We start from the raw sequence: 13,660 nt of genomic DNA, 5'->3' as shown, positions 1-13,660 counted from the left end.
ACTGATATTTGCCATACTAGAAACTAAAACAAAAATTTTACATATTCATTAATTCACTTAAAATGACAATAAACCCATTGCTTGGTAACATAAACAACGTATTTTATGAGAAATAATTGTAGTTTTCAAAACAAAGATATGTCTTTAATGTCTGGCTTAAGGGAAGACAACTGGATTCTCATGCTGCACTCAACCTGTGCGATACCTAGTGCTGGTTGAAGTATATGAAAAACACTCCGCCCTGTCCCCATCCTAGCCCGCCACGGAGCCACGAGACCCGAGAGGATTGGCCAACCCGGCGGAGCAGGTTGCGGACGGCTTCCGGGGAAGGAGGGGACTGAGCGCCAGGAGCCAGGTAGATTGGGATTGAGTAACACATGTGTCTTTCTGCGCCTTGGACCCGCCTCCAGTTTCCGCCCCTTCTTCCGCTCAAGTGTAAACCCCTAACGCATGCGTCCTAAGAAAGATGGGCACTTCCGCCCATCCCCCTCCGGATCCCTCTGTTCGGGCTCGGGTTTCCGCCGAGACGACAGGGACTGCCAGGTCGGAAGTAGTGTGAGGCTCGTGGGCGGAGCCAAGCGCCGCCATGTCCGCCGCCCTGCTGCGGCGGGGCCTGGAGCTGCTGGCGGCGTCCGAGGGTGAGGAGGGCTGGCCAGGGGACGTCCGGCGCGGGCAGGAGGATGGTAGTGGCTGCGGGCGGGAGCCCTGGATGGAAAACAATCCAGGCCGGGCTTAGCCCCAGTGGCATGGGAACGCTGCGCGCCCTCTGACCTGGGTCTCTTCCTCTCTCTTCCCCTACAGCCCCCCGGGACCCTCCAGGTCAGGCCAAGCCGAGAGGGGCTCCGGTGAAACGGCCCCGGAAGACGAAGGCAATTCAGGCCCAGAAACTGCGGAACTCGGCCAAGGGAAAGGTGCCCAAGTCGGCACTGGGTAAGTTCGGGAAGGGGCTGAAAGTGCTGCCTCCGGTGCTGGGACCTGCGCCCCAGAGGAGGTGGCGCTTGAGGCAGGGCTTGAAGCGTTCGCCCGGTATTGCTAGACCTACTGTGTGCCAGGCGCGGAGCGGGGCCCTGGACATACGAAGGTGACAGAACACGCCACCGTCCTGGTCCTCGTGGACTACGGCCCTAGTGGGGAGAGAAGCATCAAAGAATATCAAACCCAGTGTGTCATTGCTAAGTGCATTGAAGCCTATGAATTAAAAGACTACGGTACTCTGATGGGGACTTAGGCCAAGTCAGCCTTCTCTGAGGAAGCGACATTTCAGCCGAGAGCTGAAGGATGTATAAGAGTGAGCTAGGTGAAAAGTAGGAGAATATTCTAGGAAGAATAGTATGTGCAAAGGTCCTGAGTCAGAAAGGAGGTTGTTGCCTTTGAGAATTTGAAAAAATAAAGGCTGGTAAAGGTGACCTAGTGAATGAGGATCAAAGATGGAGCATTTAAACACATTCACTAACACTCTGTACCAGGTGCTGATTCTAAGTGCTGTACAAATGTAAGCTCGTTTGATCCTTACAGCAGCCCTTTGAGGTCGATACTACTATCACCCCCGTTTTACAGATTCAGAAAAAGGCACCTGCCCAGGTGGTACAGGCATTGTGGCTGCCCGGGCATTGTGTCTCCAGAGTGCTGCTATTACCTACTCCATTGAAATAGGACATGCTGTGGCCTGGGCAGTGGCTATAGCAGCAGAGATAACAAGAGAATTGTGCAGGTGGAAAATATGTTAAAGAGGGGGCAGCAGAGAATTTCAGCCTTTAGAGGGGTTTTAGTGGTGAATTGGCTGTGAAGGTGGAGCCTAGTTTCTTGGGGGACGTAGTGTCACTTAATAGACATAAAGACTTTCGGAGGGGCTGGTGTAGGCAAGATGGTGATATTTTGACATGTGTCAGGACGTGGCAAGCTCTTACTGTGTCTGAATCCCTAGAGTCTAATGCATAAAAGATGTTAAAGTATTTGTTAAAAGAATTATGAATTCCAAGGAGGAAATACAACTTAAGCCAAAGTCTGGAGGCAGGAAAGTGAGACAGGTTTGAGCCCCAGCGATACTTGCCATGAAGCAGGAGTGTGGAGTGCCAGAGGTCATTCCCATCTGTCCCAGCCCTTGTCTCACTGTCGTGTCCTGGGTGCTCACCCACCTCCCCTGTTGGATGGAAGCTCCTAAAGGCACACACCTCCTTGGGCTTGTCCGCAGCCTTGGTGTCCACCACAGGTTTTGGCACATAGATGCTGAGTGAGAGGAATGGCAAGCCTCGCAGCCAATGGAAAGAACACCTCTGCAGCTGCCACTTTGCTCCAAGCTGCATCGTCTCTTGCCTGAATTATTGCAGAAGCCTAGCCGGTCTCCTGCCTTCCACATGCCCCTCCCCCCGTAATCTTGTTCTCAACAGCAACCAAAGTGATCGTGTAAAATCAGAAGTCATTCCTTGTTTTTCCTCTGGGTGGCTCTCATTGTAGTCACTAAAAGGTGGCGGTCTTAGGGTGCCTGACAAGGGCTATATGACCTACCCCCACCCCCAGCCAAACTTGGTCTCTTCCTGCTACCCACTCCCCCTACTCCAGCTGTTTTTGTTGTTGTTTTTGGTTTGTTTTTTTTTTTTTTGAGATGGAGTCTTGCTTTGTCACCCAGGCTGGAGTACAGTGGTGCAGTCTCATCTCACTCCAACCTCTAGCCTCCCGAGTTCAAACGATGCTCCTGCCTCAGCCTCCCGAGTAGCTGGGATTACAGGTGCCCACCACCACACCCAGCTAATTTTCGTTATTTTTAATACAGACGGGGTTTCACCATGTTGGCCACGCTGATCTCGAACTCCTGACCTCAGGTGACCTGCCTGCCTCGGCCTCCCAAAGTGCTGAGATTACAGGTGTGAGCCACCGCACCCAGCCATTCCAGCTGTTTTGTGTTTTTCAAACACATTTGACACATTTCTGCTTCAGGGCCTTTGCACTGGGTGTTCCCTCTACCTAGACAAATGCTCTTTCCCCGGATATCCACAGCTCTCTTCGAGTCATTTCAGTGAGACCTTCTCATTCCCTCCTATTTGAAATTGCACCCTCCACCCCTGGAATTCCCCTTTTCTGTTTCCTCTTTTGTTTTTCTCCATGAAATGTTTGCGCTTCTAAAATACTGGGTCCTTTGTCCTTCATCTCTCACTGAAGCGAAAGCTCCAGAGTAGCTCCCTTGGTGAGTAGTATTCAGGACATAATTGTTGGAAAATGGGGGTGGGGGCCAAGAGCCTGGGGCTTTCAGCAGGACCTGTGTGGAGAATGCATTTGATGGAGAAGAGCCCAGCCGCTGTAATAACCTGGGAAGGGAACGATGAGGTCTTTGGCAGGGCCATGGGCCAGGGACTGAGAATGGTTCCAGGGGGAGTGAATCTGAAATGGTGCTCCCTGCCTGCTACCCACAGACGAGTACCGGAAGCGAGAGTGTCGAGACCACCTCAGAGTAAACCTGAAGTTTCTGACCAGGACGAGAAGCACCGTGGCTGAGTCTGTGAGCCAGCAGGTTGGTCGAGGGTACTATAGGAAGGGACCTGGGAGGTGAGAGCCGAGGCTGTTCCCCTAGGGACCCATGGCGGTCTCAGCCCTGAGCATAGGGTGGGAGGCTGGGCCAGCCCTGCCCTGCGCCGAACTCCCCTGTGACCTTTGCGGGCCTCCTCTGCTCTTGAAATGATGGGCCCTCGGTCCCGCACCCTCGCCAGATTTTGCGCCAGAACCGGGGCCGCAAGGCCTGTGACCGGCCTGTGGCCAAGACCAAGAAGAAGAAGGCTGAGGGCACCGTGTTCACCGAGGAAGACTTCCAGAAGTTCCAGCAGGAATACTTCGGCAGCTAGGCTCCCTGGAGGGCACGGTGAAGAGGCCTTCAAGCCCTGCAGCCTCCGACTCCTGCTGGCTCCAGGAACCGGCCGTGCCGCGCGGCCAGCAGATGGCGATGCAGGACCAGCCTGGCTCGAGGAAGCCGCGGAGCTGAGCCGAGTGGAGGCTGGAATGGAGCTGGTGGGCCGGAAGTCCTGGGGAGGATTTACACACAGACCGGAGCTGGCTTCCGCAGGCCTGGGCAGAGCATCTGCACCTGCCGGAAAGGAACGTATCTGTTTTGTTTGCTTTTGCCCAGGTGGGGCCTCTGGGCTGTTTGCTGTGGAGCAAGGCTAATTCCTGAGCCCTTGGGGACGACAGCTCCAGGAGTAGGAAGAAGGGTGGGCTTCCAAGTTACAATAAATGTGAACCCAAGAGCTGTGTTTGCTGCTGGTCTGCCCCACAGGGTGTCTCCCATCTCCTGTGGCACCAAAGCGCCACGCTGCCTTCCCCATCTCCCAGCGTGCTTCTGAGCTCCGGGTCACAAGTCCTCCAGTCCAGCCCCGGCAGGCAGCCATCAGAACACCCACCTCTGCTGCCAGGGGCGCCTCCCTCCTCTGGGGATGGCCACCACAGCTGAAAAGGTGACTCTTGAGGCAAAAATAGCTGCTGGGAGCAGTTCCAGTGCAGGTGGCTGGGTCCGGCAGTGGGAGTGTTGCTACTTCCGCCTGCGCCCGGGGAGCGTGGAGTCCGCCATGAGCGGAGCATTTCACCCGGTGTGTTCCTTTTCTGGCTCATGCTCTGGTGAGCAGCCAGGTGGGGTCAAATGCCTGTCATAGTGGGGAGGGGACAGTAGAGAGGACTCAGGAGGTAACCTGAAGAAACGGTTTCACACTCAGGTGTGCCTGAGCTGAAGGATGGAGGCGAGGGGAGGCAGGCGGGACCCTTCCAGCAGGCATGGGGTGGGATCAGGAGGTGAAGGACAGGCAGGCACTGAATGACTGTGTGAGTGAAGACAGGAGGCGGAAGCGGAGGCAGGGCCAGCGGAGGAGAGGTGAGAAGTGAGAGCCCAGGAGTCTTTCATCAGGGGGCCTGAGGGGAAGGGACCTGGGAAGCCTTCAGGCAGCTGCTTTTGTCTCCTAAACTCTCTCCTCCCCACCATAGCCTAAGGGCTCCTTTGCTGTGGTGACTCCCATTGCTGCTGGTCGAGAGCCTGGCAGTCCCCTGAGGCTGGGTTTGATGGGAGTGACATCTGGCTCCCTGGGTTCCCTGACGACATTGCCTTCGGGCCTGTTATTTGTAACAGCACTTGCTCCCCCACTGCCCTGGGTGGTCTGTTCCTGGTCTTTAACCGTGTTCCATCCTAAATGAGGACATGAGGGGGCCACACATCTTCCGGGGGCAGAGCTGGAGTCAGGTCCTGTCTCCAGGCGACCTCCATCAGCAGGGGGATGGGGAGGGAGTGTGCTGTGACCCCAAACCTTAGAGACCAGGGCCTCTTCCTGCCTGCTGGGCTGTAATGACCCCACTGGGCAGAGAAACTTGGATATCCGTGGAGACTAGTGGCCTTAATATTTTAAGCGGCTTAACAAAAAGCCAACTCAGCCTCTAGCGCCTGGAAGAACAGGCTGACCATAGGCCCAGGGCCCCTTTCTAACAAGAACACGCCCACTGTTACATAATCGCCCAGGTGTTCTTCCTGCTCCCTCCCTGTGTAGAGTGCAGAGTGACAGGCACTGTCCCACGAGGAGGATGGGAGCCAGGGTCCTGCTGCTTCCCCACTTGTGAGCTTCCCCATAAATCTTACACTTAATGCCAAATAACACTATTGGGTGCCTGTCCATGCCCCTCTGGGTGACAGTCATTTGTGTTTACTGCTGGCACTCTGGTCCAGTGGGTCAAGGACAGGACACTGAGGAGTCTGCCTTTTAACTGTCACCCTGAGCAGTTCTGGTGCAGCTGTCTGGAAGGCAGCAGGGAGCTGGGGTGACTGGGGTAGCACTGGAGGAGAGAGGGTTTGTCCCCATGGGGGGCCGAAGAGGTGCTGTGATGGCCAGGACCTGGTGACCAACAGGGCCCAAATAAGAGGACACTGAGGCCAGACATAGTGGTTCACACATGTAATCCCAGCACTGTGGGAGGCTGAGGCAGGTGGATCACCTGAGGTCAGGAATTCAAGACCAGCCTGGCCAACATGGCAAAATTCCATCTCTACAAAAAAAATACAATAATTAGCTGGGCATGGTGGTGTGCACTCATGGTCCCAGCTGCTTGTGGGGAAAAGGGCTGGGGTGGGAAGATCACTGGGACCCGAGAGGCAGAGGCTGCAGTGAGCCAAGATGGCGTTACTGCACCTCAGCCTGGGTGACAGCAAGACCCTGTCTCAAAAAAAGAGGACACTGAGTTGTCACTTCAACCCAGGGCCGACAGGACAAAGCAGGAGGCCTCCCTCAGTCTAGACATCATGGATGGGTATGAAAGCACCGGAAGCGTCACAGGTGGTTTGGGGAAGCAGGGTTTGAGGAAGCCACCCCATGACCCAGAGGAGGGCCCCAGCCATGGCTTCCTGTGTCTTCCACAGTGGGATGGGCTGCTCAAGCCCCCACACTCTCTGGCCCTCTTTGCTACTAGAGGAGTTGGCCAAGGGGGCCAGGCAGGAGTGGGCCAGGACTGCAACATGGGACTCTGCTGAGGCCCAGCTGCAGGCTCAGAGCTTAGCCTGGGCAAAGGCCTCCGCCACAGGCAGTGGGACTGTGGCACTTGGTGTGTGCCCCATTCTTTCCTGCCAGGCTGACTTTTTTTTTTTTTTTTTTTTTTTTGAGACGGAGTTTCGCTCTGTCCCCCAGGCTGGAGTGCAGTGGCGCCATCTCAGCTCACTGCAAGCTCCGCCTCCTGGGTTCAAGCCATTCTCCTGCCTCAGCCTCCTGAGTAGCTGGGACCACAGGCACCCACCACCACACCTAATTTTTTTTGTATTTTTAGTAGAGACGGGGTTTCACCATGTTAGCCAGGATGGTCTCGATCTCCTGACCTCGTGATCCGCCCACCTCGGCCTCCAAAAGTGCTGGGATTACAGGCGTGAGCCACCGCGCCCAGCCTGCCCGGCTGACTTTCATGGGGTGTTCTCATTCTCTGTCCACAACTCTCCCCACCCCTCAAAGCCCAGCTGGGAGGCCCTGCTCTCTCTTCTGAAGCTGCCACTTTCTACTTGGTCTAAGCATCCACCTTCCGTTTCCCAACTAGGCTGAGAGCCCCCACCCCACCTCATGGGGCACCTGGGCAAGGGTGGTTGGCACTTGAGTGTCACTGCAAGGGCTTTTTCTTTTTTCTTTTTTTTTTTTGAGATGGGAGTCTTACTCTGTCACTCAGGTTGGAGTGCAGTGGCGTGATCTTGGCTCACTGCAACCTCTGCCTCCTGGGTTCAAACGATTCTCCTGCCTCAGCCTCCCGAGTAGCTGGGATTACAGGCACGTGCCGCCATGCCCAGCTAATTTTTTAGTAGAGATAGGGGTTTCACCATATTGGGCAGGCTGTTCTTGAACTCCTGACCTTGTGATCCACCTGCCTTGGCCTCCCAAAGCCAGGGACTTTTTATTTCTCCCTGGCCTCTTTGAAATAAAATCATGCTCTTCCCATGGTTTTCCCCATCTCAGGAAATGGGCCCTCCATCCTTTCTCTTGTTTGGCAGCGGGGGGGTTCCCTCTCTTCACACCCATATCCTGGCCGCCTCTCCTTGCCAATCCCAGCCCAGTCCCCTGCCGGGCTGACCCCTGCAACTCCCTAAGCACCAGTCTTAAGGAGCATGCCCAGCATGTCCAAGCCCTACCCAGCTGCTGTGTCACATCTGAATGTGACACGTCACCTCTTTCTTCTTTTTAGGGTCCACCTGTCTCCTTTACCAGAAGCAAAGCTCCATGAGGGCAGGGATGTTTATCTATTTGGCTCACTGCTGTAGCCAGCACCCAGACAGTGTAGTGCAGAGCAGGCACCCACTCAGGACTAGTTGTAGAAAAGATGAAGGTCGTTCTCTGCTCTCCACAACCTACAGCCTTGTCCCAGACACAAAGCAGGAGAAAATGCTGAGTGCTGTCTGCTCCCGCCTGTGAGGTCCCTTCCTATCCCCCAGCCCCGGGCCCCTGGTCACTGGGTAAAGCCCAGCTCCACCTCTGACCTGGTCAGCCTAGGCTGGGCTGGCCAAGGCCTGGCAGGGGCCACAAGTTGCCACATGCAGGGTGGTGGCCAGACATCAACTTCATCTCTGCCCCCTCTTCCCGTACCCCTTATTGTGCTGGGCTCTCCGGAACAGATATCTGCCTAGCCAAATCCAGCCGGTCTGTCCAGGCCACTATCACTGCCTATACCACCTGCCCATGGGCCAGTGTCCACCCATAGGCCAGACTTCCCAAGGGGGTGCCTAAGTCTGGGTCTTAGCTGCATCAGTAAGAGGGTTACAGTCATAAGACCCTCCTCACAGCCTCTCAGGAGGACTCTGAGCTCATCACTGGAAGGCGCCTAGAACCTCAGAGCTCTTTGAACATTTTCGCTGCAGTCATTTTTGCTATTTCCCAGGCACTGCTGTAAGTCCTGGAAATACGGGAATGAACAAGACAGCAAAATACCTGCTGCCATAGAGTGAGCTTATATTGTAGTTAGGGAATGGAGAACAGAAAGTTCATCTGTATACAGATAAACTCAATGGAGAAAAAAGTTACAAAAAAACAGCAAGTGCAAGGCTCTGAGGCAGGACCAAGCTTGGCAGACAGATGGAGAGAGGCCGGGAGCACAGTGAGGGGAGGAGGTGAGGTCAGGGAGAAGGGCAAATCCACTGTGACCTGAGCTGGTGCCTTCTGGGTGTGGGAGGACTTAGCTGCAGGGGCCTGGGAAGGGCACAGCCCCAGCATCCTGGCTCCACACCACTGGCCTGCACTGCCCTTCTTGGTGCCTCAGTTTCTCGTCTGCCAAATGAGGGCCGACCCCCACTGGCACTGGATGACTCTGATGCTCCTGGCCACACCCTAACACCTATTTAGTACCTGGATGTGGATGGAGGCCCATGGCCTTTGGAGAATTCTAGAATCTCAACAGGAAAGACCTCAAAGAGCACCAGGTCCAAGACCCATGTGTGATGCCCACTCCCAGTGGTGCCTCGGGCCACTTCTCCACAACCAGCTGCATGCATTCCATCAACAGTTGGCTCTCAGGTGACAGTCTATGCTGGGCACCAGAAAGGTCACGTGGGCCCCACCATGCAGGTCGTTACGGGCCATTTGTTTCCAGCTCAAGAGGCAAAATGAAGAGCCCAGACTGGAGCCGTCCTGGGTTCAAATCCCAGCTCTACCTCTTTGCTCAAAATCCTCCTAGGTGAGCTGGGCGTGGTGGCGGGCGTCTGTAATCCCAGCTACTCAGGAGGCGGAGGCAGGAGAATCGTTGGAATCCGGGAGGTGGAGGTTGTGGTGACCCGAGAATGCACCATTGCACTCTAGCCTGGACAACGGAGAGACCCTGTCTCAAAAAAAAAAAAAAAAAAAAAAAAAAAGGCCGGGCGCGGTGGCGGTGGCTCACGCCTGTAATCCCAGCACTTTGGGAGGCCGAGGCGGGCGGATCACGAAGTCAGGAGATGGAGATCAAGACCATCCTGGCTAACACGGTGAAACCCCCTCTCTACTAAAAATACAAAAATAATTAGCTGGGCGTGGTGGCAGGCGCCTGTAGTCCCAGCTACCCGGCAGGCTGAGGCAGGAGAATGGCGTGAACCCGGGAAGCGGAGCTTGCAGTGAGCCGCGATCGCGCCACTGCACTCCAGCCTGGGCGACAGAGCCAGACTCCATCTCAAAAAAAAAAAATTCCTCCTGGGTGTGGCGTCTGCCTCACGGGTGTGCTGCGGGGACTGGGTGAAAGAACACATGTGCTGTGCTCAGTTACAGCAGTGCCTGGGCTGCACTCACTCTCACTCTCCTCCCAGCCATTCCCCAGGCACACCCGGTCTACACCACCTTCCACAGACGGAAAACGAGGCTAATCCCGAAGGACACAAGAGGAAGGGCAGACCTACCCGGGCTGCGCTGATCTTTGCATTCAAGCATTCATCCGCAACACAGGACAAAAGACATCGCCTGCCTGGAAAGGCGAAGTCGCCCCGCCAGAAGTCCGAAGCTGCAGTGAGGTGTGGCTTCTAAGCACTGATCCATCCTAACATGTCCCGAGGCCGTCAGGCCTCCTAGTTTAGATAGCAGCAGGCACAACAGCCTTCACAGGAACTGTTGCCTGCCTTTGTGCCCAGCTCTAGCCAGAACCTGCGCAGGCTGTCATCCTTCCACCCCGTAAGGAGAAACGGAGGCCAACCCTCAGCTCCTGTCCTGTTTCAGCATCAATTCCCAAAAGGAGCCATTTCTTTCTTCAGGATGAGGCTTCTGCAGAACTGTTCAGGTAACAAGTGAAACCTAATCTTGTGTGCTATCTCAAAGACCGTGCAACCTTATTCAGGGTTTTATGCGACAGCTGTTGGCATGAAGCCCTCTTGAATAAACAGGTGGAGGCCCAGGCTGTCCCTCCCTCTGAATCTCCCAGAGATCTCCAGCCTCCTCCCCCTACACAACCAGCACTCAGCTCTGGGCAAAGGACCCAGCTTACTATAAATGGCCAACTATACGGCTCCAGGGCCCCATGAATCAGCCATCGTGGCCTACACCGAGCAGGGATGAGCAAATCCCACTCTGGGAACCGATCTTCAGCCTTGGACTGCCTCCTCCCCCAGATCTCACAGGAAATGTTAAGACCAGCTTGGGGTGGGTGGGTGGCGCTTCACTCGGTTACTTTGCCAGGAAAGGAATTCAAACGCACAAGTACTTTCCCTACAAAATAATTTATTGGAACACACAGCTACAGCACTCTATGTACAAGCACATTGACGCTCCTGACTATCCTCAACTAGGGGACCCTTTTCTTCCCCCTTGCCTTGCGGACCTCTTCTATCAAATCTTTCAGGTACTGGATCTCCTTGGCCAGGGAATCCGCCCTCTCTTTTAGAGCCTCGTTCTTCTTTTCCAGCTCTTTGCACTCACCAGTAAGAGCCTCCTGCTCCGCCCTCTTCTTCTGGCGGTACCTAGTGGCTGCTGTCTTGTTTTGCTCCATTTTTTTCAGCTTCTTATCCAGTTTCTCACCCTTTACTTTTGCTGCTACCATCTTCTCTCCAGGAGGATCGTAAGGTTTGGGACGGGCAGACCCACAGAGAACACCTGGAGATGGGAGGCTCCTATTTGGAGAGCCCCTGGTAGAGGGGCTGTGCTGAGGAGACCCCAGATAGGACTCTGGGCTCATACAGATGCCACTATCATTATCTGAAGGGGTGTCTTCCTCCTTTATGCACTGAGGGATCATGGCAACGTAAGCAGTGTAGTCTGGCTTCCTATCTCCTTCAGTGATATCCACTTCACTGCCCAGCTCTAAACTAAAGGAATGATCTGGAGTGGAGGACAGGACCCCTGGGGAAAGGGGAAGAGGTTGTAAGAAGGTGAAGGGGGCAACCTGGTCGGGTTTTGTTAAACTTTCTGGGAGATGGCCAATTGGGTTCACCGTCTGGGGGGGCTGCTTATTAGTCTCCTGGACTAGGGGGGCAAAGAGATCACAAGTGTCATCCAACGTGGTCAGAAGGTCATCTGGCATGGTTTCCAGGTCATCTATACCCAACAGGGCATCCAAGTCGAACTCCTTCAAATCCATTTTCTCCAACATCCAATCTGTCCCGGAGAAGGCATCCTCTGCAAAACATTTGAGTGATGGGGCCAAGTGAGTCAGATACAAAGGTAGGAGGCCCCTAACCCTAGATCCCACCAGGACGATGTGGTGGTGGCCCACTCACCCTTGCTGTTGTTGGAGGGACTGACCAACCCATCCACAGCCAGCCATTCGGAGGAGCCCGCCTTAGCCTTGTCGCTGGAGAACCCATGAGGTTTGAAGTGCTTGGCCACCTCCAGGTAATCATCTAAGAGACCTAGGCTTTCTTCAGCCCCCAAACCCGACTGGTCGAAGGGGGACATCAAGTCCCCCACCAACACCTCGCTGCTCAGGAAGCTCATTTCGGTCATGTTGCGGTGCTTTGCTGGAATCGAGGAATGTGCTTAATTCGAAGGTGTCTTTGTCGGTTACAGCAACGCTGCTGCTGAATGCCGTGAGAAGCCTGAATGAGAATCAGAAGCCAACTCCCATTAGAGGTTAGCTGTTCTGAGAATTTCATCCTTCCACTTATGAGGCGGGACTTCTCTAGATCGGCCATCTAGAGAATCGGGAACAGGGCAGTTGTATTTGCCCCTCCCTGCTTGCAACTCAGGTTCCACAAAATGGACGCTCACGGAGACCAGGGGATTCTTCCACCGGCCGCCAAGAGGAAAGCGCTCCGTCCCCACGTCCAAATACGGCCAGGGCGGCCGCGCCCCGCCCACCGCCCGCCCTTGACTCACGCCCGCGCCGCCGCCCTGCCGCCGCCATCTTGGTTCCTGCCACGTTTCGTGGGGCAACAGCCAAGACCCCTGGGACCCTTGCGGGGCTCGGGGTCCGAGGGCTGTAGGGCTCCTGGGGAAGCAGTCCGGGCACCCGACTACGCTTTCCCGATCCCAGGCACGCGAGCGTCTCGGGGACACCCAAGCAAAGACCACGCGTCCCGGGCGCTCGTTAAATCGCTTCCCCCTTGGCGGCACCGCCCTGGCCCCAGGCCGCACCCCACCAATCCAAAACCCGCGCCGGCCCCAGGAGCACAGCTGGACGACCCGCCCCGGTACTCACGCCATGGCTTAAGCCGCTGGGGGTTGCCGCTGCAGAGCCTGGTGCTGCTGCCGCCGCTGCAAAGGCCAATGCTGCCGCAGGCACTGCTGCCCCTAATACGCCATGGTGGCCGTGGACCCTGAGGGCGGGGAGGAGGGAAAACGCACACGCGCAGAGAAAACTACATCTGTGGGCGGGCAAAGTAGAAATGGCTGCCGTGGCCGCCCGCCGGCCCTTTATAGACTTCGTCTCTATGGGGACGCAGCACAGACGCATCCTTCCGCCGCGACCACGTGACCGTCTCCTCCCGCCCGCTCCCTTCCCTCCCTCCCTTTGACGCCCCAACCGTTTATGCCCAGGGCGTAGCTGTGACGAGAAAAGGAGTTTGTTCTTATGGCCTCACGAAAGGAGAGAGGTGTACTACTTTACTAGGCTTCTATGATCAGAGTCCGTTCTTTCCTTCGCCGCCGGAGCGCGGAGTGATCTCCCAGACACGCCTCGCTTCCGGTGTCAGCGCAGTGGGCGGGGAAAGGTCGTTTTCCGGCGAAGAGTTTTTATTGTGAAGGCCGAGGACGCCAGGTTATCGCGCGAGGTGCTGGCGAAGAGCGCGCGTCAAGGTGATTGGCCCAGGCCCGGTGAATCATATATATCTCGAGCTCTTATTGGCTCAGGGCCCTAGATGGGCGGCTGCTGGGAGAGGGATCCCGGGGTCCGCGTGGGAAGGGTTGGGGTCTCGGGTCGCTGCTAGTCCTCAGCCAGCCCCGCCTGCTGGCCCGCCACGATCGCGCTGGCTCCTGCCCCCAGGCGGCCTTAGCCCAGCGCACCCCTTAGTGGCCTCAGGGACCAGCCCTTGCGGTCGGATCCCGCCGCCCTCAGTGGAGGTCCGCACTGGTGGCCCCGCCGCCGCTCCCAGCCTGCGCGTCCTTCGGTTGCGGGTGGTGATTTGTGGCCTGCGGAAACCGGGGGGTTACCTGTTCCAAGCCTGAGTTTTCCAGAGGCCCCATTCATAGCCGACACGGCGCTGCTGCCCCCGGGAGGTTGAAGGGGCCTCGAGAGGGCGCGCCGGGCCTGTCCACCTACCCCCAAAGGCCGGCTGAGTCTGCATGGC

The 13,660-nt window shown here is 56.0% G+C and overlaps 2 protein-coding genes across 4 annotated transcripts, besides 19 other annotated features; one reads left to right on the top strand and one right to left on the bottom strand.

Annotated features, from left to right (window-relative positions):
- Positions 332-847: an enhancer, noted in NCBI's record as "H3K27ac hESC enhancer chr22:39928483-39928998 (GRCh37/hg19 assembly coordinates)". NCBI's record gives its function as "activates a minimal SCP1, AML or CMV promoter by ChIP-STARR-seq in naive H9 embryonic stem cells {active_cell/tissue: H9 hESC(naive)}" and the evidence as "EXISTENCE:reporter gene assay evidence [ECO:0000049][PMID:30033119]".
- Positions 383-432: an enhancer, noted in NCBI's record as "active region_19070". NCBI's record gives its function as "activates an Ori minimal core promoter by ATAC-STARR-seq in GM12878 lymphoblastoid cells {active_cell/tissue: GM12878}" and the evidence as "EXISTENCE:reporter gene assay evidence [ECO:0000049][PMID:35858748]".
- Positions 483-542: an enhancer, noted in NCBI's record as "active region_19069". NCBI's record gives its function as "activates an Ori minimal core promoter by ATAC-STARR-seq in GM12878 lymphoblastoid cells {active_cell/tissue: GM12878}" and the evidence as "EXISTENCE:reporter gene assay evidence [ECO:0000049][PMID:35858748]".
- On the top strand, positions 577-4,232 carry RPS19BP1 (ribosomal protein S19 binding protein 1). Of its 2 annotated transcripts, NR_130151.2 has the most exons (5): positions 577-638; positions 802-930; positions 2,771-2,861; positions 3,408-3,505; positions 3,702-4,232. NR_130151.2 is itself a non-coding variant. In NM_194326.4 (4 exons), exons 1-4 carry the CDS (start codon positions 587-589, stop codon positions 3,831-3,833), a joined length of 411 nt encoding a protein of 136 aa, NP_919307.1. In that variant the 5' UTR covers positions 577-586; the 3' UTR covers positions 3,834-4,232. The 2 variants fall into 2 exon arrangements, 1 of the variants encoding a protein (NP_919307.1); NM_194326.4 differs by lacking the exon at positions 2,771-2,861.
- Positions 653-812: a silencer, noted in NCBI's record as "silent region_13760". NCBI's record gives its function as "represses an Ori minimal core promoter by ATAC-STARR-seq in GM12878 lymphoblastoid cells {active_cell/tissue: GM12878}" and the evidence as "EXISTENCE:reporter gene assay evidence [ECO:0000049][PMID:35858748]".
- Positions 848-1,363: an enhancer, noted in NCBI's record as "H3K27ac hESC enhancer chr22:39927967-39928482 (GRCh37/hg19 assembly coordinates)". NCBI's record gives its function as "activates a minimal SCP1, AML or CMV promoter by ChIP-STARR-seq in naive H9 embryonic stem cells {active_cell/tissue: H9 hESC(naive)}" and the evidence as "EXISTENCE:reporter gene assay evidence [ECO:0000049][PMID:30033119]".
- Positions 993-1,122: a silencer, noted in NCBI's record as "silent region_13759". NCBI's record gives its function as "represses an Ori minimal core promoter by ATAC-STARR-seq in GM12878 lymphoblastoid cells {active_cell/tissue: GM12878}" and the evidence as "EXISTENCE:reporter gene assay evidence [ECO:0000049][PMID:35858748]".
- Positions 3,613-3,862: an enhancer, noted in NCBI's record as "active region_19068". NCBI's record gives its function as "activates an Ori minimal core promoter by ATAC-STARR-seq in GM12878 lymphoblastoid cells {active_cell/tissue: GM12878}" and the evidence as "EXISTENCE:reporter gene assay evidence [ECO:0000049][PMID:35858748]".
- Positions 4,183-4,402: an enhancer, noted in NCBI's record as "active region_19067". NCBI's record gives its function as "activates an Ori minimal core promoter by ATAC-STARR-seq in GM12878 lymphoblastoid cells {active_cell/tissue: GM12878}" and the evidence as "EXISTENCE:reporter gene assay evidence [ECO:0000049][PMID:35858748]".
- Positions 4,423-4,472: an enhancer, noted in NCBI's record as "active region_19066". NCBI's record gives its function as "activates an Ori minimal core promoter by ATAC-STARR-seq in GM12878 lymphoblastoid cells {active_cell/tissue: GM12878}" and the evidence as "EXISTENCE:reporter gene assay evidence [ECO:0000049][PMID:35858748]".
- Positions 4,483-4,712: an enhancer, noted in NCBI's record as "active region_19065". NCBI's record gives its function as "activates an Ori minimal core promoter by ATAC-STARR-seq in GM12878 lymphoblastoid cells {active_cell/tissue: GM12878}" and the evidence as "EXISTENCE:reporter gene assay evidence [ECO:0000049][PMID:35858748]".
- Positions 5,133-5,182: an enhancer, noted in NCBI's record as "active region_19064". NCBI's record gives its function as "activates an Ori minimal core promoter by ATAC-STARR-seq in GM12878 lymphoblastoid cells {active_cell/tissue: GM12878}" and the evidence as "EXISTENCE:reporter gene assay evidence [ECO:0000049][PMID:35858748]".
- Positions 6,033-6,242: an enhancer, noted in NCBI's record as "active region_19063". NCBI's record gives its function as "activates an Ori minimal core promoter by ATAC-STARR-seq in GM12878 lymphoblastoid cells {active_cell/tissue: GM12878}" and the evidence as "EXISTENCE:reporter gene assay evidence [ECO:0000049][PMID:35858748]".
- Positions 8,705-8,754: an enhancer, noted in NCBI's record as "active region_19062". NCBI's record gives its function as "activates an Ori minimal core promoter by ATAC-STARR-seq in GM12878 lymphoblastoid cells {active_cell/tissue: GM12878}" and the evidence as "EXISTENCE:reporter gene assay evidence [ECO:0000049][PMID:35858748]".
- Positions 8,855-8,904: an enhancer, noted in NCBI's record as "active region_19061". NCBI's record gives its function as "activates an Ori minimal core promoter by ATAC-STARR-seq in GM12878 lymphoblastoid cells {active_cell/tissue: GM12878}" and the evidence as "EXISTENCE:reporter gene assay evidence [ECO:0000049][PMID:35858748]".
- Positions 9,778-10,279: an enhancer, noted in NCBI's record as "H3K4me1 hESC enhancer chr22:39919051-39919552 (GRCh37/hg19 assembly coordinates)". NCBI's record gives its function as "activates a minimal SCP1, AML or CMV promoter by ChIP-STARR-seq in naive H9 embryonic stem cells {active_cell/tissue: H9 hESC(naive)}" and the evidence as "EXISTENCE:reporter gene assay evidence [ECO:0000049][PMID:30033119]".
- Positions 10,356-10,405: an enhancer, noted in NCBI's record as "active region_19060". NCBI's record gives its function as "activates an Ori minimal core promoter by ATAC-STARR-seq in GM12878 lymphoblastoid cells {active_cell/tissue: GM12878}" and the evidence as "EXISTENCE:reporter gene assay evidence [ECO:0000049][PMID:35858748]".
- Positions 10,639-12,766, bottom strand: ATF4 (activating transcription factor 4). Of its 2 annotated transcripts, NM_182810.3 has the most exons (3): positions 12,574-12,763; positions 11,654-11,971; positions 10,642-11,552 (listed from the first exon to the last, which is right to left on the bottom strand). In NM_182810.3, exons 2-3 carry the CDS (start codon positions 11,877-11,879, stop codon positions 10,723-10,725), a joined length of 1,056 nt encoding a protein of 351 aa, NP_877962.1. In that variant the 5' UTR covers positions 11,880-11,971; positions 12,574-12,763; the 3' UTR covers positions 10,642-10,722. The 2 variants fall into 2 exon arrangements, with proteins under 2 accessions (NP_001666.2, NP_877962.1); NM_001675.4 differs by having other exon boundaries at positions 10,639-11,552; positions 11,654-12,766.
- Positions 12,286-12,335: an enhancer, noted in NCBI's record as "active region_19059". NCBI's record gives its function as "activates an Ori minimal core promoter by ATAC-STARR-seq in GM12878 lymphoblastoid cells {active_cell/tissue: GM12878}" and the evidence as "EXISTENCE:reporter gene assay evidence [ECO:0000049][PMID:35858748]".
- Positions 12,696-12,845: an enhancer, noted in NCBI's record as "active region_19058". NCBI's record gives its function as "activates an Ori minimal core promoter by ATAC-STARR-seq in GM12878 lymphoblastoid cells {active_cell/tissue: GM12878}" and the evidence as "EXISTENCE:reporter gene assay evidence [ECO:0000049][PMID:35858748]".
- Positions 13,226-13,425: a silencer, noted in NCBI's record as "silent region_13758". NCBI's record gives its function as "represses an Ori minimal core promoter by ATAC-STARR-seq in GM12878 lymphoblastoid cells {active_cell/tissue: GM12878}" and the evidence as "EXISTENCE:reporter gene assay evidence [ECO:0000049][PMID:35858748]".

The sequence above is a fragment of the Homo sapiens genome, chromosome 22 (genome assembly GCF_000001405.40).
Source record: "Homo sapiens chromosome 22, GRCh38.p14 Primary Assembly".
Lineage (NCBI taxonomy): Eukaryota > Metazoa > Chordata > Mammalia > Primates > Hominidae > Homo > Homo sapiens.
The sequence above is the reverse complement of the archived record's forward strand: the minus strand, read 5'-3'. Positions and strand labels throughout refer to the sequence as shown.